The 22,641-nt window shown below is 34.8% G+C and overlaps 1 protein-coding gene across 25 annotated transcripts in view; it reads right to left on the bottom strand.

The window, feature by feature from the left end:
• The window catches only part of DCAF6 (DDB1 and CUL4 associated factor 6), a 212,261-nt gene that overhangs the window by 38,314 nt on the left and 151,306 nt on the right, over positions 1-22,641 (bottom strand). For 7 of the 25 annotated variants that reach the window (XM_047425194.1, XM_017001779.3, NM_001198956.2 and 4 more), the window contains 2 exons: positions 21,572-21,742; positions 14,476-14,535 (listed from right to left, as the gene is read on the bottom strand). The exons of 10 other annotated variants lie outside the window; for them this stretch is intronic. In XM_047425194.1, coding sequence (XP_047281150.1) covers positions 14,476-14,535; positions 21,572-21,742 — 231 coding nt within the window. Of the gene's footprint in view, positions 1-14,475; positions 14,536-17,855; positions 17,979-21,571; positions 21,743-22,641 lie in introns of all 25 variants that reach the window. 8 more of the 25 variants (NM_001349774.2, NM_001393651.1, NM_018442.4 and 5 more) reach the window with 2 other exon arrangements.

Here is a 22,641-nt window from a genome sequence, read left to right as displayed (position 1 = left end):
TTTCATTTTATGATGAACAACAGTTTGGGAAACATTAAAATACATAGGGAATACAAATGGATACATAATCAAACATGTCACATTTCTGCCAGTTGCTTGCAGAAAGAAAACTCTTCTGTGAGATATCTTTTTCCTTGATACCAGTTCAAGGACTGATTTAATACTAAAAATAAACTTCTCTTGAAAAATAACAAAGACAATCACAATTTCATAAAAGCAAATATACTTAGGATTTTTTTTTATTATTGGATCTACTTTCTATTGCAATGAAGGACTTATATCTTTTTTCATTCCTCTTGAAGATGTTGGAGCACACATTAAGAGAATCTCAGCGGGGCTCAGTGGTGGGAGGAACCCTTAAGCCCAGGAGTTCGAGTCGAGTCTGGGTGAGACCTCATCTCAAAAAAAAAAAAAAAAAGGGGGGGGAGAATCTCATAGAACCTCTCTTCTAGCCTTTATTCTGTGAGAGGACAATTAACAAGACTTCAAATACAGAAATGCAGTAGAAAAGTATTCCACAAGAGTCAAGCTGATAACAAAACTTAGTATCAATTCCTCTGTCTTAACTTCCAACTCATGAAAAATCCTGTCCTACAGAATTGCTATTTGAAAATAATGTGAATTATAAACCTGACATCCCAAATGGTAAAGTCACTTTGTTTCTGTACTATTTTTGTTATGATTATGTCTTTTAAACAACTCCTGGAAATAAACTAATAACCCATTCCAACTGTCAAAGATTTAGTATTACATTCAGTGTTTTAGAGGAGGTATTTTACCAAATGGCATTCTGATAAATAACTGAATTAATAGACCTTTAGCTTACAGAAATGTATTAAGGAAACATCTGCCCTATCCTTGACCCTCTTTCAAAAACTTGCTGTTTGCTAGTCATTTGTCCACAGTTTCCTCTTATTCTTTAGTTATGTTACTGAGATTTTTGTTTCATCACTGCTGTCTTTAGGCTTCTGCAATAGATGAAACAGACAGCTAAAGATTGGATGATTGGATGATTAAGGAAACTGAGAGACTGAGTTCGGGCTAGTTTTTTCATTTTCTCTCTTAATATTTTATAAATGTTTTGCTGTTTATTTTTCTTTTAAGGTAAAGACAGTAGAGAAAACAAAAGCAGATGTGAGAGAAGTGTAAGACTGAATTTCTCAGATCCACCTTGGTTATAGTTAAGACTTCTTAAGTTATGAGAAGCCTTGTGGAATTTAAATGATATATGAAAACTTTCCTTTTCAGGAAAATTTAAGAGACAGTTATAGATATCTACATGCTATGACTATAGGAATATATTACACAAACTATTAAGAGATCAGAACAGAGCAGAAAACATTTATACAGGTTCCCCACCAAAGGCAAGAAGCTTTCTAAGATGGTTAATGATAATTAAAACTTTCTTCCTACAGTATCTACTACAAAGTTTTTTTGTTTTGTTTTGTTTTTATTTTTTTTGAGATGGAGGCTCTTTTTGTTCCCCAGACTGGAGTGCAATGGCGCGATCTCGGCCCACTGCAAGCTCCGCCTCCCGGGTTCCAGCAATTCTCCTGCCTCAGCCTCCAGAGTAGCTGGGGTTATAGGCACCCACCACCACACTTGGCTAATTTTTGTATTTTAGGAGAGATGGGGTTTCACCATGTTAGCCAGGCTGGTCTTGAACTCCTGACCTCAAGTGATTCACCCACTTCGGCCTCCCAAAGTGCTGGGATTACAGGCATGAGCCACCATGCCCGGCCTACAGAGTTCTTATTTAATCTCTCAGGAATATAATCTACATATTACAAAACATGTCAAATATTGGTAATATTCATTTAATCATAAAATGATTGATTATAGTTGATAGAATTTGTTCATTTAAGTTGTTAATGAATTCATCAGCCTTGTGTAAAACTAGCCTATTACTATAAAAATAACATGAACTCTTCTGTTAGTCACAAAAACTTCAGGTCCCTGAGTGTAGTTATTTCCTCGTAGCCTACACTTAAGTAAACAGTGTCTCTGGCAGAAAGACAACACAATGAAGAACCTGGTTTCTTCAACTCCAGGTTGTTTTGTTTTTGTTTTTGTTTTGAGACAGAGTCTCACTCCGTCGTCCAGGTTGGAGTGCAGTGGCGAAATCATGGCTCGCTGCATCCTCAATTTCCCAGGCTAAGGTGATTCTCCCACCTCAGCCTCCTGAGTAGCTGGGACTATAGGCACATGCCATCACACCTGGCTAATTTGTAGTAACTTTTGTAGAAACAGGGTTTTGCCATGTTGCCCAGGCTGGTCTTTAACTCCTGGGCTCAAGCAATCCGTCTGCCTTGGCCTCTCAAAGTGCTGGGAGTACAGGTGTGAGCCACCGCACTTGGCCCAACTGCAGTATTAGTGACAGTATATATTCCAAGGTTTAAATTCATCTCCTAGCCTTTTTCCATTTCACTGTCTTCTTTAATTCTAGTTTGCTTGGTCATATACAACCTATCAGGTTACATTTTCTCAGGAATTAGGATTCCTGGACTACTAATGAATGCATTCACTCTTTGTGATAAAATGCATATTCTAAACTACAAATGTCTTAAGAAAAACCTACTTTAATGATTTTAAAAATTAAATATTTTTACTTTATTTGAAAAAAAATTGTAACTATTTAAATGTTCCCAACTTCTCTGTCAGAGGTTGGATCAGCAAACACATTCTAAAAATTGTATTTTTCAAAGTCTTATTTACATAATGCACAGATATGTTACTTAAAAGGTAGATTTTTATTTAAAACCCTTAAGGTTTAGAACTTCAAGTAAACACACAAATAGCTTTATGTAGAAAGCTATCATATTAATAACTATAATTTATTGAGCATTACTATGAATATACATCAATTATAAATGTGTGCCAAGATATATACATTCCTTTAAAAAAATCTTTGTAATCAGTATTGTCATCTCCATTTTACAGATGATGAACTGAAAACAATAAGCTTAATTTTTTCTCTAGTTACGGACTTTTCCTCCCCCACTCCATCCTTTCCATAGACAGGGTCTTGCTCTATCACCCACGGTAGCGTGGTGGCACCTTCATAGCTCACTGTGGTCTCAAACTTCTGGGCTCAAGTGAATCTCCTGCCTCAGCCTCCCAAGTAGCTAGGATTGCAGGTGTGTGTCACCATGCCCAACTTCTTTATTTTTTCTAGAGATGGAGTCTCACTATGTTGTCCAGGCTGGTCTTGAACTCCTGGCCTCAAGTGATCCTGCTTCCTCAGCACTCCAAAGTGTTGGGATTACAGGTATGGGCCACTGTGCCCGCTGAGGTTTCTTTTTATATGAAGTTCCTACTTAATATACAATCTTAGAAATAATCTGACTACAAAGACAAAAATAAGATTACTTAGATAAGTAACTATTTTAATTAAGAAATATCAATTGTTGATGTTGTTACTCCTCAGAAATAAATAATTCATATCAACAACATTAATAACTGGTTAAGAGTTCTGGTAGCCAAAATTATCACTTTGGCATCATAGTATAGGAAAACTATGTTGTATCTTCTTTTAGGGCACTTAAGAGACTGAACTATTTCTTCCTCTAAAAACATTACAGGAGAATATTTATTTGTAGTGTGCTCAGCACACACACAATATAGTGGGGAAAAAATCCCTTTTAACTTGTTCAACACTGCTAAGTTTTTAGATAGCGATTCTATATTGCTCAGTAATTATGGTTATTAAGAACAACTGATGACATCAGCAGCTTAGAGTGGTCTCTATGGAGGCAAATTACCATTTATTTGAAACATGCTTCAGAAGCACAGCAATGACCACATAAACATCAAGATAAAAGACTGTAAAGGACTTCATTTTGGGGGATTAGAAGTGAAAGGTCCGTAACTTGAGATTCAGGAAACCAACTTAAAAGATCCTTTTCAGGCCGGGCGCGGTGGCTCACACCTGTAATCCCAGCACTTTGGGAGGCCGAGGCGGGTGGATCATGAGGTCAGAAGATCGAGACCATCCTGGCTAACAAGGTGAAACCCCGTCTCTACTAAAAAAATACAAAAAATTAGCCGGGCGCGGTGGCGGGCGCCTGTAGTCCCAGCTACTCGGGAGGCTGAGGCAGGAGAATGGCGTGAACCCGGGAGGCGGAGCTTGCAGTGAGCCGAGATTGCGCCACTGCAGTCCGCAGTCCGGCCTGGGCGACAGAGCGAGACTCCGTCTCAAAAAAAAAAAAAAAAAAAAAAGATCCTTTTCAGAAATGCTACTAGAGACCTCTCAGGATAGTGCATTGGCTCAGAAAAAAAATTCAGAATAAGCTGAAATATAATTTGAAAGCAGTTTCCTTGAACTGTTATGTATTTAATTAGGTATCTTTCAAGTCTTTTGCATAAGAATCACAAAGTAACTATTTTTTGTAATGCACACGCTGTGAAATGATTTAATCTGTACATTTCCACTACGAAATTATAATCATGAGGTTCTAAAAGATGCTCAAAGACATACAAAAACACATGTGATAACCATAGTAAAAAAAAAAATGCTGAGTATTTTATATATTTAAATACTGTTCAAAATGTTGGTATAGATCTAAATATCCAAATACTAATAAGGACGTTCAGACTTTAAGCTGGGATACCCCTGGAGAATCTATCTCATATGTAAATCTAAACCAAATATTCAAAATGAAGATAATTAACTAGGGTATAGCAACAATAATTTCTTTAGAACCACCATGCCCAACATTTTTCTCTGCTGTTGGGTCCCTATTATAACTTTATAATCATACATTAATTAACTATAGTAGTTAGATAAGCTGTGGAACATGTGAAAATAAAACACTGTTTACCTAATGAGTTTTCTATTGTATAACGATGTGTGTATGATTATATAATGATATTCTAATTCCCACTTCATTATACCAAATATTTTTTAAAAACCAAAGTAAGGTCGAAATAAAACATATGGTGAAATATTCTGAAAAAATAATAAAGTTTAACTATCTCCCCACATTCTGCACTCCAACTTACTAGACTTGTATAGAAAAGGCAAATTTCTCAACCACAGTTTTTAAACCAATGCAAAATTTTCCATGTTCATAGGTCAGGGAATCCACAACTTTTTTGTAGATTCCAGATTAGAGGATCTCCAATTCTCCTTCCAACTATTTGTATAAGGAAGCATATCTGGATTCAAAGTGGAGATGCTGCTTCTAGGAGTAGACTGCTAACAGAGAAGATCTATCTACCCTACAGATAACTGTGAGGCAACACATTTCATTCTAAAAATTGAGTGCTTACACTAGTGCAAATCTGGCTTTATAAAACAGAAGTGATACTATGCAAGCCAAAACGAAACAAAGTGCAATTTTAGTACAGATATTTATTAGGAAGTCCATTCTCTCTAATCTTTTTAACATTCAGTCAAATTTTCTTCTGGCAATCACAACTCAACTCTATGTCAATTATAATAATTTTAACCCAAGAACTTTTTTCATGACATAACATAGAAGTGTGAATTGAACTTAAATATGTGATTTCGATACATTTAGATTGAAACTGTGCTTGGTTCCACATTCCTACCAGTATTTAGAATTTATGGGTTGAAATGTGGTAGCCATTTGACCTTTGCTTCCTTTTCTCCTACTTCAGAACCAGTAGTTTTATATACCTCTATTCATAAACGTCTCCTATTCCTATCTCACTTTCAGTCTAGAGGGAGGACAGTATAGAATGAAAATAAGTAAATACGCCCACGCCATGTGGCACATGAGTCCTGCCAAAATCCTTTTCCAGTATTTCTTTTCATGACTGTTTCCTCAGGTATATTCTCCTTTACTGGAAAAAAAAAAAATCAAGTCTGCCTATCATAAATAACACTCTCATTTTGTAGATAAATTAACAAGTTAAAATGTGACTTCCAAGTGAAAACAAATGAGGTAGACAGTTTAGGAGAACACTCCCTTTAACAACTTCTCCTTCCAGTTACTGTCCTCCTAGCTTATTGTTTTGAATTGCTTTTCTTCTCATTTCCATTTTTTCGTCTCCTGCTCTAAAATCTGGCCTATGTCTCTATCACTCTAGTGAAAGTGTTCTACTAATGGGCTCAATCACTCCCACATTGCCTAACTTAGGGGATAATTTTTTTGGAGCCAATTTACTTGACCTTCCAGCAGACAACACTCTCGTATTTGAAAATTTCTCTTGATCACAAGACACCACGCTGTTCTATGTCGCCATCCACCTCTCTAGTTGCTTCTTCTCAATCTCCTTTACCAGCTCTTCGCTGGCAAAATCTTTTAATTTTAGAATTTTTCTGATTTTTCTTGAGATGTTTTAGCTCTCTTACTCTGTCCTCTTCTTTCTACTTTCATCCTAGTTAAAATTCCATCTAACTTCATGGCTTCAGTTAACATCTGTATGCAAAAATCTCCCAAATTTCTTTCTTGAGCTCTGATATCTTTTCTGAGCTCTATATCCACACAATCAACTACCCAACCGATTTTCAACTTGGGTATCTCATACAGATAACTCAAACTCAATATATTCAAAACCGAGTTCATGATCACCTACCCCTACACGTCCCCGCCCATGCTTCATCCCTTTTCCAGGGCTACCTATTTAAGAAAATAGCCATTCACTTAGTTGTGCTCAATCAAAACATGAGCTACTCTTGCAGTGGCTGAAAAAGTCACCTGTTAATCTCCAACAGTACCTCCCACAAAGCACTATAAATAAATGTATAACCTAAGTAAAAACAGTGTATTTGTTTTACAAAAGATTTAAGACACAAGTCCTGGCCTCTGCAGACTGCTATTTATTACTAAACTATCTACATAAGAAAATTCTGAAGTTGTTACTGCAACTTATACTCTGGATTCCTCCTCAATCCCTGTGTCATTCAATCTACCACCAAGTCCTGTTTATTCTACATCTTAAATATTTCTTGAATCTCTTCACATCTCTCCTACCTTACTTTTATCACCAGATCAAAATCTCTATTACCAGGAGAACTTCGTAAGTGATTCAGTCTCTAATCAATTCTCCATACTCCATTCAGAGTATCAGGCCATAGCCATACTCCCTAATTTAAACACTTCATTAGCTTCCCTCTGTTCTTAAAATAAAAATGCGAAACCTAAAAATGTCCAAAAAGTCACTTTGTCCTGCATACTGAGGTTCTCCTAGTCATCCTGTATGTGGCATCTCAGAGGCTCTGCAATATGCTATTCATGCTTCCCTTTACTCATGCTCCTTCACCTAACTTATTCAGGCTCACCTTTCAGATCTCAGCTTAATGTCTCTTCCTCAGGGATGCCTTATTTGGCCCTCAACTGGAGGGAATGAAGGCCCACTCTCCTATGTTCCACACTGAACCCTGCTATTTCCCCTTTCTTATATAACACTCATCACACTTGATTTATTTTTTCATCCATCTTTACTGTTAGATCAGGCAAAGCAAGTGGTTATGATCACGGATGCCAGAGCCAGACCTCTTGGGTTTGAGACACGTTTCTAACGCTTACTAGCTGTGTGCAACCTTAGACATGTTTCTTTTCTTTTTTTTTTTTTTGAGACGGAGTCTTGCTCTGTCACCCAGGCTGGAGCGCAGTGGTGCAATCTCGGCTCACTGCAAGCTCCGCTTCCTGGGTTCACGCCATTCTCCCACCTCAGCCTCCCAAGTAGCTGGAACTACAGGTGCCCGCCACCACAGCTGGCTAATTTTTTGTGTTTTTCATAGAGACGGGGTTTCACTGTGTTAGCCAGGATGGCCTCGATCTCCTGACCTCGTGATTCGCCCACCTCAGCCTCCCAAAGTACTGGGATTACAGGCGTGAGCCACCACGCCCGGCCTTAGACATGATTCTTAACCACCCTTTGCCTCAGTTTCCTCATCTGAAAAATGGGGGTAATAATAGCACCAACTACATATGGTTGTGGTAAGGATTAAGTAAATTAACATATAAAAAATTGCTCCAAGCAATGTTTGGTACAAAGAAAATGTGGTATTAAGTGTCTTATGTTGTTGTTGCTGTTATTATTATAAATCAACTCAATGCTCCCAGTACAGAAGACAGTAGTGTTATTTATTCATGCACCCTAGTACCTATCCCAGTACTTGCCACAAGGTAGGTAGGCATTTACGTATCAGTTGAATTAATGAAGTACAGACATACAAATATGGCTCCACCACTTATTTCACTCATCTTTACATATTTCTTGGAGTCTCAGTTTCTTCATTAGTAAAATTAAGATAATTCACCTCATTGTTAGCACAAATTAGATGATGCATGTTAAATTCTTAACACAGTGCTAGTCACAAAAAACTCAATAAATGTCAGTTATTTTTATGATAAGACAATTCTAAGTTAAACAAACTGGAGGTATAGGTTTGATCAGCAGAAGAGTAGAACACACGAGCATATGCAACAAAAAAATTAAATAGGGTTTAACTTCCAAAAGATCAAATATATCATTAATTGGAACAATCAAGACCTAGTAGTTGGGGATAGGAAGAAATTAGTTACCTCATTCCAAGTAACTAAGTGATAACTAGTTCTAAGAAATACAAAGAATTTAGAATGAAATTTTATTTCACTAACTTATTATTTCACTAGAATTTAAAATATACTATTTATGGATGTATTCCAGTGTGGGGAATACTGAACTTATATTCTTATTAATACAGCAAGCTTCAATCACTAGATATTTATTTAATAAAAATTAGAATTGTCAATATGTTTAAAATAATATTAGATAATAGTACTAAAATGAAATTTCAATTTGGTGATAGTATATAATCTTAAGGTAATACATATTTAATGCATGGCAGGTCCAACTTTTCCATTTCCCAATCTACCTTAGTAGAATTAGTAAAAATCTGTTTCACTGGTTTTTGATTATCCACTAGTCTCCTATAGATGAATGTTTCACAAACATCAAAGACAGTCAGCTTATATAAAATGATACATAGTGGAAAATTAACATTGATATTTTTCATACCTACAAATTAGTGTTTATATTTCTTTAAATCTATAACAGAAAATTAGTGCCTGCAGATGCACAACTGCCTACAGACGTAAGTTTCAAACTCGATGGCACTGTCAACTTCCACTTAATGGAATCACTGTAAGGAATAGAAAGCAACTTGTTTCAATCATGGCCAAAACCTAAAACTCAGACAAAATTACTTTCTTATATCCTCTCAAAAGTTAACTGTTCTCAAAACAACAATTACATATTCTTTTTGCTGTTGTTATTTTTTAAAATAAAATAAGGGGGAAATTGCTGGCCTACATATTTTTAAGAGGAAAAATTTGTTAAGTTTTAATAATATAAACAAGGTAAAATAAATATATGTCAGAAGAGAATTTTTCCTCTTATAGTAGAGAGATAAAAAGGAAAACTAAAACTACCCATTAAAACATACTGTTGAAACTAAACAAGATGCATGATGGACATTACTGTGCTTATTCAAACAGAATTTCACTTTATGCATAATTAGCACAGAAAGGCCATCAATGTGTTTACACACAACTCCAAATTTGGAGAACACTGAAAATTATTTTATAATAGGATACAATTAATAACAATGTGCATGTTATACATTTATTTCCCTACAATTTTGTTTCTTAAAAAAAGTAAAACTATTGAGACAACCAGGGAGCTGCATTAATGAATGAAGATTCAGGCTAAACATACTTCTATCAAATTGTGATTTTGTTAAAAATTCAGGATAAATAAGCAAAGACACCAGTTGCACTCAACCAGTTTAATACTGTGTATACAGTTATTCAAAGAAAAAAATTTCTTCAGTAACCAAGTCCACTAAAATTTTTAAAAAAATTTATTAGTAACATTTTTGTCCTTGGTAATCCTTCCAAGTAAAGAAATCTATGAAAATGCTATGGAAAATTAAACAACATATAAAATGATTTGGGCACCTGGAAAATGGTGAAGAAATATTTTGTGACATAAACATAAAACTGAACTATCAATTTTTAAAAAGCATTCGTGTTTTGTTAAAAGTATGAAAAACAAATTTAAAATATGCTGAAATAATCATTAGTCAGAGATATATTCAAATAGGAAACTTATTAAATGTACTACTTTTTCCATTCTCCATGGTAAAACTGAGAACAAGAATCTTGGTAAAGGTTAAAATTTTGAAATAATAGCATATCTGGGGACATCAACTATCCCTTACATCTTGAACACACAATCTGTTTACTCTATAAACATGCTCAGTTTTGAACCTACCACCACCTATACCTGACATTATCTTTGCTCTTTCAATTCTTAATTGGGCTTATGAAAAGAGACATAACAAAGTCTCTACCTTTTTCCCCCAAACCTTTCTCCTCAAACCACTACTATCTGGCTTCTGCTTCCACTACATCATATCTCAAACTACAATGTCAAAGCAATCACGTTGCCAAATTTAAAAAATGATTTATCAGACTTTCTGGGAGTTGGTATCATTGATTTACATGGCATTACTAACCTGTCCCTCCTTGCACTTCTTTTCTCCTGGTTTTGGATATGGCATTCTTTCTGCCCTGCGTACTTCTCTCATCATTCCTGTTTGGTCTCATTAGCTAGATCCTTTTCTCTACTTGCTCCTGTAGTGCACTCTACTCTTCTCACACTACCCTCTTTTTCTAGACAATCTCATCCACTCCCATGGTTTCAACTGCTATCTATAAACTAATGATTCCTTACCTTTATTTCTACCTCAGATCACTTTGGTGACTTCCAGCATCATATAGCCATCCAACCATCTATGAGATCTCTCCACGTGGATATCCAAAGACACTTCAAACTTAACATTAAAAAAAAACTCACATACTTTCTTCTCCCCTCAAATCAGCTAGCTGTTCCTCCTAAAGTCTCTATCTTGGCTGATGGTTCATTATCACCCTATCAAGACACCTGGTTATCATACTCTCATTCATTTCTAACTTATCAGTCTCAAAGTCCCATGAATTCAACCTTTCAACTATTTTTAAAATCTGTCCATTCCCACTTCTCACCACTATTGCCTTAGGTTGGATCCCTCATAATCTCTTAGGTGGACTATAGCAATGGCCTCTTACGTGTTCTTGGTGTTTTCAATCTTACTCCTTCCAATCATTTATAATGTTGCCAAAATGATCTTTCCAATATGTAAATCTGATCACATTTCTCCCAAGCTGAAGTAATCCCTACAGCTCTTAAATAATTGCTTAAAGAATTCATTTACTCACTCGTTTAACGAATATTATTTACCACATGATGTATGATTTTAGGCATAGAGGAAATTATTAAATGAAAATATTTAGAGAATATGCAAAAAGGTAGATATTAAACAATCCCCTAAATAAATGTATGATTACAAATGTGATAAATGCAATGAGGAAAAATAACAAGTCACAAAGGAAGAAAAAGAGGAGACTTACTAGAGATTGTGAAGTTATATTATTTTTGAGAGTAACATCTCAGTGAGTTTAAAAAATGAGTAGAAATTGCTCAACAAAAAAGTAGTTTTGGTAGAGGGAACAGCATGTACAAGAGATGTACAGCCTGTACAAGGGATGTAAAAGAAATGAAAGTAAGTCTATTTGGCAAGAGCTTAGTGAATGATGGGATAGTGGCCTGAGACGAGATTAGAGATACAGAAATCAAGTCATGTAGGTTTTGTAAGCCAAGGTATGGATTTGGGTTCTTTTGAAAGGCTATGGGAAGTAATTAAAATGTTTTAGGCAGATGAATCACATGATTATATTTACATCTTGAAGTTTCACTCTGGCTGCCGGTAGAGAATAGACTATAGCCTGAGTGGATGTGAGAAGACTAGTAAAGGGATTATTCCATTAATCTAGGAGAGACAAATGGTGGTGGGCAGTCTCTATTAACTTTTAGAAGTTATCTTTAGGTAATGTGAGCCTGCAATGTGAAGTTCCTAGTACTTTAAAAGTTATAATGCTGATGAACAAAAAGGTATGTAAAAACTCAGGATTTAATTAATTAGATATATTTTCCACCATTAGAACATTTCTGCTCAGAGGTCTTATTACAAAGCTACATTTCTGATAGTCTACTACGGTGCAGCTTCTGCCAAAGCCACTCAATACTAACCTCTTACATAGCAACTCTACTTACATGACTAAAATGTATATCATACTTTACATAGCCAAAAAGATAAAGAACCACCTGATTTCTATTTCCAAGCTACTCAACCCTAGTAAATGGCCTTATCATTTACCCTACCCAGGCACTGATGTAAAAAATCTGGGAGTTAATCATAATTTTTCTCTTCCTCTTATATCCCATATCATATGTAAATTATCAACTTAAATTGAATATAATATTAAATGTAATGCTATGAAAATTATTGTATGTGATTAACTAGAATATAAATCTGGCTATAAAATCTCTGATAGTGATATATTATTAAATCCATATATCCTTAGAAAAAAAATCCTTTAATTATAGAGTAGTTATATACAGTAGTCTAATATAGTAGGCTATAGTTGTATTTTGCCTTAATTATTCTTCATTGTTAATACCTCTGTAATAAACATATAAAATAACACATGCTTAATTCCTTAGTTTGCAAATTAATTTACCAATTCATTCATTCATTCTTTCTTTCTCAAGAACAGAAAACCTTATAGTAATACAGGTCATCTAAGGTCCATAAGGAGTAATTTAAGATCAGAAATTCACCTCAGGTCCATAAGGAATAATCTTTTTTTTTTTTTTTTTTGGATACAGAGTCTCACTCTGCTGCCCAGGCTGGAGTGCAATGGCGCAATCTCGGCTCACTGTAACCTCCGCCTCCCAGGTTCAAGCGATTCTCCTCCCTCAGCCTCCTGAGTAGCTAGGATTACAGGCACGGGCCACCACATCCGGCTAATTTTTGTTTTTAGTAGAGACAGGGTTTCACCATGTTGGCCAGGTTGGTCTCAAACTTCTGACCTCAGGTGATCTGCCTGCCTTGGCCTCCAAAAGTGCTGGGAATACAGGTGTGGGCCACCACGCCTGGCCCCATAAGGAATAATTTAAGATCAGAAGTACAAAAGAAGTTTTCTAATTCACTTTAAAATTAGTTTCTGAATATTTCTCTAAGAATATAGTTTAAATTACATATATTTCACACCAAGTAAGTACAGCAATATTTAATTTCTGCATTACTATTGACATATGAGTCATCTAATATGTAAACTTTCAGTCAACCAAATCTTATGGCTTTAGTGCTAATTTTTTAAAAAATGTTTTTGAAAGGAACATTTGTAAAATATATAAAGGCAATCACCTGCCTTTTTTCTGTTCTTTTTTTTTTTTTTTTTTAAAGAGATGGGGGTCTCACTCTGTCACCCAGGCTGGAGTGCAGTGGTACAATCATAGCTCACTGGATCCTTGAACTCCTGTGCTCTAGCAATCCTCCTGCCTTAGCCTCCCTATTAGCTGGGACTACAGGCATGCACCACCACACCCAGCTAATTAATTTTTTTTTTTTTAAGAGACGGGGTCTCGCTATATTGACCAGGCTGGTCTCAAATTTCTGGGTTCAAGTGATCCTCCCGCCCCAGCCTCCCAAGTAGCTGGGATTACAGGCGTGTGCCACCACGTCCAGCTATCTGCCTTTTTAAATAGAGAAAGTGAATATCGTGTTAAATCATTCTTAAAGACTTAACTAAGATTACTTATCACACTTTGTCACAATATATTTAAAATACTTCATTAAATTCTGAGGTGAGATAGTAAAACATTTGCGCTAACACTAAATAGCCTTTTTAGTTTTTAGTCTTCCTATCTCCAGCCTTTTCAGATGTCCCTTCATGTCAGAATGTCTTCCTCTACTAATCCTTCTCTGTGCTATATTTGATCGCTAGTAATAAAGCCTGATAAATAAGTAACGCGTTCATTTCATCAGGCTCTATTCAAGGCTTGGAGATTGATTCTATACCTTTCCCACATTGAAAAGTACAAGTGGAAGTGGGAGCTTCTGACTGACAGCTTTTGAGCTTACCTCTGGGTTCGTAACTATAGTCTTTAGTTAAAGCTACCAGGAATTTGGCTACCAGATAAGTGAGACATAAAACCAAGTATCATTACTAAAGCAATCTAGTAATATAGAATATCACTGTGTTTAAATAACTTATCCTACATAAGCAACGAGGTAGTATTAACCTCACACCCACAGTTCTACACAATTTTATGACAGATACCTAGAATTTAAAAAATGGATATAGTTTGTATCCATTATAATTTTGTTATAGGGAGAGAGTTCAAAGTTGGCATCAAGGGCCAAAGTGAGAAATGAGCTTACATAGAAAATAATCTGTATAGGCCAAAAAGACCTTTTATGTACAATACCACCTATTGTAATTTGGTCCACAAAATACTGACTATAAGACCATAATCAAAATGAAATGCTACGAAAGGTGTGAGAGAGCTTAGTATATGCATTGCAATAAAGCTATGGATGGATGGGCATAGCGCATCTCCTGTTGCACGCACCCTGTTGCTCGTCAAGTGACATGGATCCGAGCTGTTTGTTAACCACAGAAGAAGGAGAATCTGAAACAAAAATGAGATTTCAACTTAAAAGTAAGCAGCAGAAAACTGCACAGCAATGTCATGATCATCTCTAAGCTTAAGAAACAAATGTATAAGGCTGCGGAATAGAAGTAAGTACTGTGGTGTGATTCCCAAGCAGTGAGTAAGCAGGGCCATGTGCTTAAGATATGTTATTCCAGGCAAGCATTTAGTAACTTTGAGAATGAGTTGAGAAACTATTCTTCTATTTCCATGCATACACCTTTTATCAAATTCGTATACCAGAGGCACAAGGTGCAAGGTAGATATATTAGAAATGGGGTATCTAGTTCACTACACAAGACTCCTTGCCCTTCTCAAACTCCCTCTCCAGCTCCTTAAGATGGTTTTCATCCTGCCTTGGAGGATTCGAAGCATGAAACGAAATGCTCACTATACTTTGAGAGATGTTGTTTGCTGTACTGTGGGCTGAACAAGGAGCTAACATCAAGATCTTATACAAAGAAAATGGTTTATAAGAAAAATATTCAATGAGGTAATTATCATTACAGAAACATGCATGACTTTAAAAACTCTACAGTATATTGTGCATATTAAAACTATACTATGTAAAGGCTCAAGTTTCTTTAGCGTTACCTGGTAGGGAAAGGAAAAGAGAGGCAGAGAAGACTTAATGATCTGGGCTTTACACTTTCTACCTTGGCTTCAAATAGAACAGCTTCGTTCTTATCTTTTTAATATGCTGGGTTTCTATGTAAGAATTTACTTTATAAGCGGTTTCTACTGTTTGAAAAACACTGGTATTAAGGCAGGCAGCATAATAAAATGGAAAGAGCACTCATCAGAAGTTAGTAAGTTTTAATTCTTAACTTGATTCTGACAGTAATTAGCAACATTTTTAGGCCCAAGCTTCTCCTTACTCTCTAATCAGCCTGGGGATCTAGTAACCTAAGCAAGACACTGGGGAATAGGTGTTCCAGTAGGGCTACAGTAAAAGAGAAACATAGGTAATAAGCGCAACTCTCCCCAACCAATAAGAATAATTCCCAGTTTCTAATATCCTGTGCTCTAGTTCTTAGCAAATGTTAACAAAATACTTTTGGCCAACACCAGTTTCTGCTCATAATGGCATATTTTTCCCAAAAAGTAGGTATTTTAAGATTGCCCTTAGCTGGATAGCTGAGTTTTCCAATATATCCTGGATTCACATTGATTTTATAGGATTTGATTGCTTGCATTTGTACATTTAAAAGTCTGAATCCTGCTAGTGGTACCATTTCAATCAACTTTAAATCTTCCATCTTCTAGTATCACCAGTTTGTTCATGTATTTTTCTCTTACTAGATTTTGACAAAACATGATCATTATTTGAATAACAGCTTTTACTTATCCTTACTTATCACTTTTTCATCAGAACAGTTAAATCTTTAGTACACAAAAAAGAAAGTGGGAACAATAGCATTTCAATCAGTTCCCTAATCTATTCGTGCTTTACTTTCTTAAGATGCCTTCTCATTTATCCATTTCACAGTTGGATTCAACACTACCATCTATGTTGTTTTTAAAGAACAGATAAATTGGTCTTTAGAAAACAAATTAAACTCTTTAAAAAAACAAGAAAAATGTGACTCACAGTGAAATAAATATTGGGAAACTCTCCTAAAAATCTGTGAAAAATATTTTTCATCCATTTGGATTTGTTATACATTTCATTATGCCCTCATTTAACAATTTAAGAGCCGTAAGAAAACTATAAACTCTCCAAGAAATCTTATCTTCAAACATTTATTTTTTCTAAAAAATACCATGAAATGTACAAATCTTGTTCAGATAAAATGCATCTTATTTTTAATAAAATTTAAGAAAGAATAAGTCACGGGGAAAAAACTATTAATGAAAGATATAGAATGCTGTCATCTCTACAAAACTATTTTCAAACTCTTGAAGTATTTAAAATATTAAAGCTATGTTAAGACAGAAAGTATTAAACTAAAAGGGTTTCCTTTTTGGTTTTACTCTGCCATAGACATTGTGTATTTCTGAGGCATTTGCTGTTCCTCCCATCTTGAAGATTAATTTTATGAAGAAATCCTTCCTGGTCACTGCTTTCATTCTATTTGTAATCTTGGGAACACACAACTCCTTTGGGAAGGATTATTTTCCTATCATATGAACATTTTAAGTGACATGTTTTTTTAACCACTATTCATAAATACAATACCTAGAACTCCTATCTTACATAAATATTTTCAAATATTAACATAATAACCATTAGAATAGCTAATATTTAAAAAAGTAATTACTAGTTTAAGCTGACTGCCTCAGTTACTGGCATATTCTACTCTACCTCTCTGGGAAATACCTTCTAGAGAATATAATCACAAACTAAAAACCTGAATATATGGTCCAATGGTAGTTTATTGTAACATGTAATATGGTTGGTCAGCTTATTTGAAGTGTTTAGAATTGTAACTTTTTTTTAAGGTAAAGATACACTTTAAGCAAAAGCTCACTCAGTACTAAGCTCAGCATGTCTCATGGTCAATTACTGTGTATTTCCAAAAAATGTGTTGTTTGGTCTTGAGAAAATTCTTTAGCCCCTTGACACCAGAATTATCTCCACTGTAGAAAAAATAGACAATTATAGTCTAACAGGTAAATCACAAAAATTCTTCAGCCACACTTCCTGGGTTCAAATGTGGTTTTTCTACTCAGTAATATTGTAACCCTGGGCAAGTTATTTAACTTGTCTAAGTCTCAGTTTCTCCATCTGTAAAATGAGGATAATCACAATATCTACTACATAATGTTCTTCTGAAGATGTAATGAGATAATCCATGTAAAATATTCAGACAGCACATAGGAATGGGTCATTTAATGTTTATCATTACTTGCCTATTTTTCAGACATATGGTATTGAATGAAAAATAATGGTACAAAGCTGTTCTGAAACATCTGGAGCGTATTATGTTTAAACTTCTAAAAGACTCATCACTGTTTTGCTTTGGACTCTGTCATTCAAGGTAGTTAAGGACTGCTGGCAGAACCAGACTAATATATCTAATTTATTAACTACTTATAAACATCAAACACATAGATCCAATGCATCCATCTGAGAAGTGCTGCCATGTGACTGTCATTATGGACACTGTGGGAAATCTGGTGTTGTTTAGAGCCTGCTTGCACAGGATCGGGTAAGTGCTGATTTTTTCCAATATGGCTCAGTTTTGAAAAGCCCTTTTTCAAAAATAATCACCAATGTTTTACACCCTTTTGGGGTATAAAAATTACTTTTTTCCAATTGGTAAAACCGTGCCATAAAGTGAAAAAACAGTTCCTACCTGACCCTCTCTAGGCTGGCTCCATGCTCCAGTGGGGCTCTGTGGTGGTTAGGTCAGTACCAGCAGACTCCACAGGGTGCTGTCACTCTGAGCAGGAGCCAGCAACCCATGACTTCAGGGGACCTGAAATGGAAAAAAAGAGTTGGGCTTAAAATCAGCCATATGCTGAATGCCTCTGCCATACCTGTTTAGGACATTCATCTGATACATGTACATATAGCTCATTCAAAACCCTGAATGCTATCAACCTTATGGGGGCCTTTATATGAGGACATTTTTAAGTAGCAAACAACATACTACAATTAAGATAGTACATTATTGGCTGGGCATGGTGGTTCACACCTGTAATCCCAGAACTTTGGGTGGCTGCAGTGGGTGGATCACAAGGTCAGGAGATCAAGACCATCCTGGCTGACACGGTGAAATCCCATCTCTACCAAAAATACAAAAAATTAGCCGGGCATAGTGGCACATGCCTGTAATCCCAGCTACTTGGGAGGCTGAGGCAAGAGAATCACTTGAACCCGGGAGGTGGAGGTTGCAGTGAGCCAAGATAGCACCACTGCACTCCAGCTTGGGCGACAAAGCGAGACTCCATCTCAAAAAAGAAAAAAAAAAAAGAGAGAGTACATTATCATGTGTACTGCTCTCCTCAGGTAGGTAACTTCATATATACTGTATTGCCTTAACCCATCCTTACATGGTCTCTGTAAATTACAGCAAGCTACACTATCTAAATAAATCAATAATTGGGAAACTGAGGCATAAAGCAGTCAAATGACCTGCCCAAGGTCATCTAGTCATAAAGCCAGGGACAAGAGTTCAGCCAATCTAATTCCCAGGCACTGATGTGATAAAGGCAAATTCATTTCTTTTTGGTTAAAAAAAATTGCTAAGGATTTTATGAGTTCCTGCATATTTCCTAAAAGTCTAGAAAACAAGTTATGGTGTATTTCCTAAATGAGTTGTGGTGTATTTCCTAGAAAAGATATACTTTTAAAAAACTAACAAGTGAAAATATTTTTAAATGATATATTCTAATTTTTTAAAACCATATTTTTGGAAATTAGTTCTAAAGAATTATCATTTACAGGTGTCAAAAATTCTTTTAAAGCACTGATTTTCAAACTGGGCTTCAGGGAGCAGAGGAGCTTTAGGGGTAGCAGGAGGAGCAAGCAGGTGGGTAGTCGCTCCTTGTTTCATGTTTAAGTCCCAACAGTGCTACTTTTATATACTTTCTATTGGAATTTCCACATAAGACTGATGACAAAGAGTGAACAACCAAAAATAAATAAAAAACCACTGTTTAACATCTTCTAATACCTATTTTATACAGCTCATTTTAAACAGTTTGAAACTTAAGGTGATATCATTTGGTGCCTTAGAATGGTGTTTTAGTCTTCAATTGCCAAGAAATATCAGCAACTAAATAGATAATATTCCATCTGGGATTATCCTAAACCAGCATCAGGCCCCTTCCCATTTGAGCCCACTAAAAATGTAGGTGATTATTTCTACAAAGTGGTTTCAAGGTTTGATCTAACTTTCCTACAGGAATTAGGTATTACTGATTTCACAGAATATTCCCATGAGTTCTATATATTTTGAAAAGAGAATAAAATGGTTGCCAAACAATGTAATGCAGAAATTCTTTCTATACTTTTTAAAATTTCTTGGTTTCCAAATCATAGTAATGTCTCCTTTGAACATCTTATAGCTAAAACACTTAAATAGGTGAGAAGACAACAGAAATATGTTTTACTGGCACTATCACCACTAATTGATACTCTAAAGATACCAAAGTATGAAGGAAAAATATGCTTCTTACATATGAGAAACGCACATTCTTCTATTATTAATAAATTAAAATCTAGGAGGCTAATTTTGGTGCTTTCTGTATGGGTAGATAGTAGTAACATCTATCATAAAAGAATGAATCAATTAATGTCCATATACAAAACTGCATTTAATTATTATGTATAAGATAAAGTTTTATAATTGTTACTCAATTAAAACCTACCCTCCTGCTGAATTTCATAAATTTAATTTCTACTGTTGCCAAACTAGATATTTAATTAGAAAACACTTAAGAGTTGGAAAGACAGCATCTTACTTCACAGAAACCACACATTCACTCTAAAGCTTTCTGATTCTAAAAAGAGCTTGCTTCAATTCAAATCCGTGAACTAGTTACAAAAGATTAGTGAATCTCAAAATATTTTTCCAACATCTACAATGTATACTTCTTTCCTGTTAGACAGTTTTGTTTTATACTCAAGATCATTTTAATACTAAGTTTGTAATCTGCTAAATTTTAGTATTTTAAAAATAATTATATACGTAGGGACATTTTATTTTTCTTTCTATTGACTTTTAGGTTTCATGATTTTTTAACCTTCAAAACATGTTTGCTAGACGTTTATATACAGCAAAAAAAAAAACAAAAATGTTTTATTATTAAATGTCATTATTGTAATCTGGTCAAATTTTCTTGTTAATTGTTAAAGTATAGGAAAATATTTCCCCATAGGAAAAAAAAAAATCAGAGGCCTCTGCCTGATACTCCCTCTATTAATATAACATTGAATTAAAAATAAAGTTTATGATTTATCCCAAACATCATATCTATATTACAATGACTTAAATTTATTTAATTTTACCACATATAAAATGTGCTTTTGTTACCACAGCACTTACTAGAACAGATATTTATAAAGTGCAGGTTGTCCAATTCTACCAATATATAAATTAGTTCCAAATAATCAAATTAGAACTCTCAAAGCCCAAACTCATCACTCTTTAGGGTAGCAGAAGAAAGCATATCAAACAAAGCATTATAAACTGATTAGTATGAGAACCTAGACATTCTTGTTCCTAAATAACTTATTATACCTACTATAGTATTTATATAATACTATAGGATTTACAGTATCTATTACCCATCTTGAAATAACTAAGTTGACAAATTATTTTGTGCTATTAATATATCTTTCATTAATTCTTTTAACAAATGTTTATTGAGCATCATGAACTTTCTGGTCATAAGATGACAGGGCATTAAAACACTCATTGAGAAAAAAAGAGTGACAATTTTTACTATGTTATCACAGTTTTATAGCATAATAAGAACATGAGACTGTGGAGTACTTTTGCTGCCCTACACATCAGAAAGTTGATTACGTATAGAGGAATAAGAAAGCAAATATTGAAAATTTTCAAATAATGACAGAAGGAAATAATTTAGTCAGCATGCTAGTATGGCCAAATAATACTATAATTCTAAAATCTAGCATTACTAGGTTTTAGGAATATTGGCTAACATTCAAAGAGGAAGAAGAAGAAGAGCTAGGAGCCATAAAGCATAGATTCATTTCAGCATATGCAAACTTTCAATAGAAAGATCAATGCAGGCTCTAAATTCACTAATTATTCAAAAAGAGGTCATCAGCTTTAAAAGTAATAAATATTTGCCCCTCTCCAAATATATTACAACTTTTAAAATTGATTATTTTATATTCACCTCTCTGGCAGATGCTGCTGCCAATCTGTCCCCCTAACACGTGATGTTGAATACCACCCATATGCAAGGAAAGGAGGGGTAAGCTGCAAGCGCATTAGCTCTCTTTTTGAATGGGAAAAGGGAAGCACCTTATTACACAGTAGCAGTATTAAAAAACAATTCTATCAGCTGCTTAAGGACACTTGACATTAATAACCTGAAGCATGAGGGTCCTGTGAAGAGCCCTCATGAGAAGACTGATCAGAAGTGGAAGGCTGTTGCTGGGTATGTGCAGCTAGCTCTTGCTGCCTCTGCTGCTCAGCCTTCTTAAGCCTCAGTTGTTGCAGGCGCTTACGAAGCAAAGCTATCTCAGGGCCCCTTAAAAATTCTGACACAAATAGGAAAAGAAAGGTGAAAAGACAGTAATAAAATAGAAAATAATAAGAATTTGATTATACATTAAAAAAGAAGAAGGATATAAACAAAACACATGTCTCATAGAGGAATACTATAAACAAATTACTGATAAAAAATTACTGGTCATTAAATTATGAGACAATACATATACAACCAAATGCTTCTATTTAACTACGATGAATTAGATACATATATTTCTCTAGGAATATTTAAGTAATTAAACCAAATGGAAATAAAAAGTCCTCCATAAGCAAAAGATTTCAAAATGAACATAGAACAAAATGATACTAGGAAAGAAACAGAAATTGAAAACAATCAGTTAACTCATCTGATTTATACACAAAAATTTAAGCTGCTTTGTTAATTTCAATCAAATAACAAAATTCAATTAAAAGGATAAAAACTTATGCATTTAGAAACAACTCAGAATTTATTGAGAAGAGCTCTAAAAAAGTGAGTTATATATTCTTCAGCTAAATATTTCATGTTAGAATTGTCATTTTAAAAAATTTTTTAAGTTCAAAAAGATTTACATAATCAATATTTTCTTAACCTTTATCTGAAGTGATCACAGATGAAAAGTAGAAAAATAACATTAAATTCTGCAAAGAGATATTTACTGAATGTCTTCTATGTATGAGGCATTGTTTTAGGCTCTAGGGATAAATAAAATATTGAACAAAACAGTCCTTATTCTTGTGGAGTTAATGTTCTGAGAGAAAAAGACATTTGCGAATACACAGGCACACATGATGTTGAACATATGTGTTTGTGTCACGTGGGGATAACTGCTATGAATTAAATTGGCAGGGTAAGGTAAAGGGGATAGTGAATAATGATGACAGGGCAAGGGTTATTTTATATATGGCA

This window comes from Homo sapiens, chromosome 1, assembly GCF_000001405.40.
Source record: "Homo sapiens chromosome 1, GRCh38.p14 Primary Assembly".
In the NCBI taxonomy this organism is placed as follows: domain Eukaryota; kingdom Metazoa; phylum Chordata; class Mammalia; order Primates; family Hominidae; genus Homo; species Homo sapiens.
This window is presented reverse-complemented; position numbering and strand designations above follow the sequence as displayed.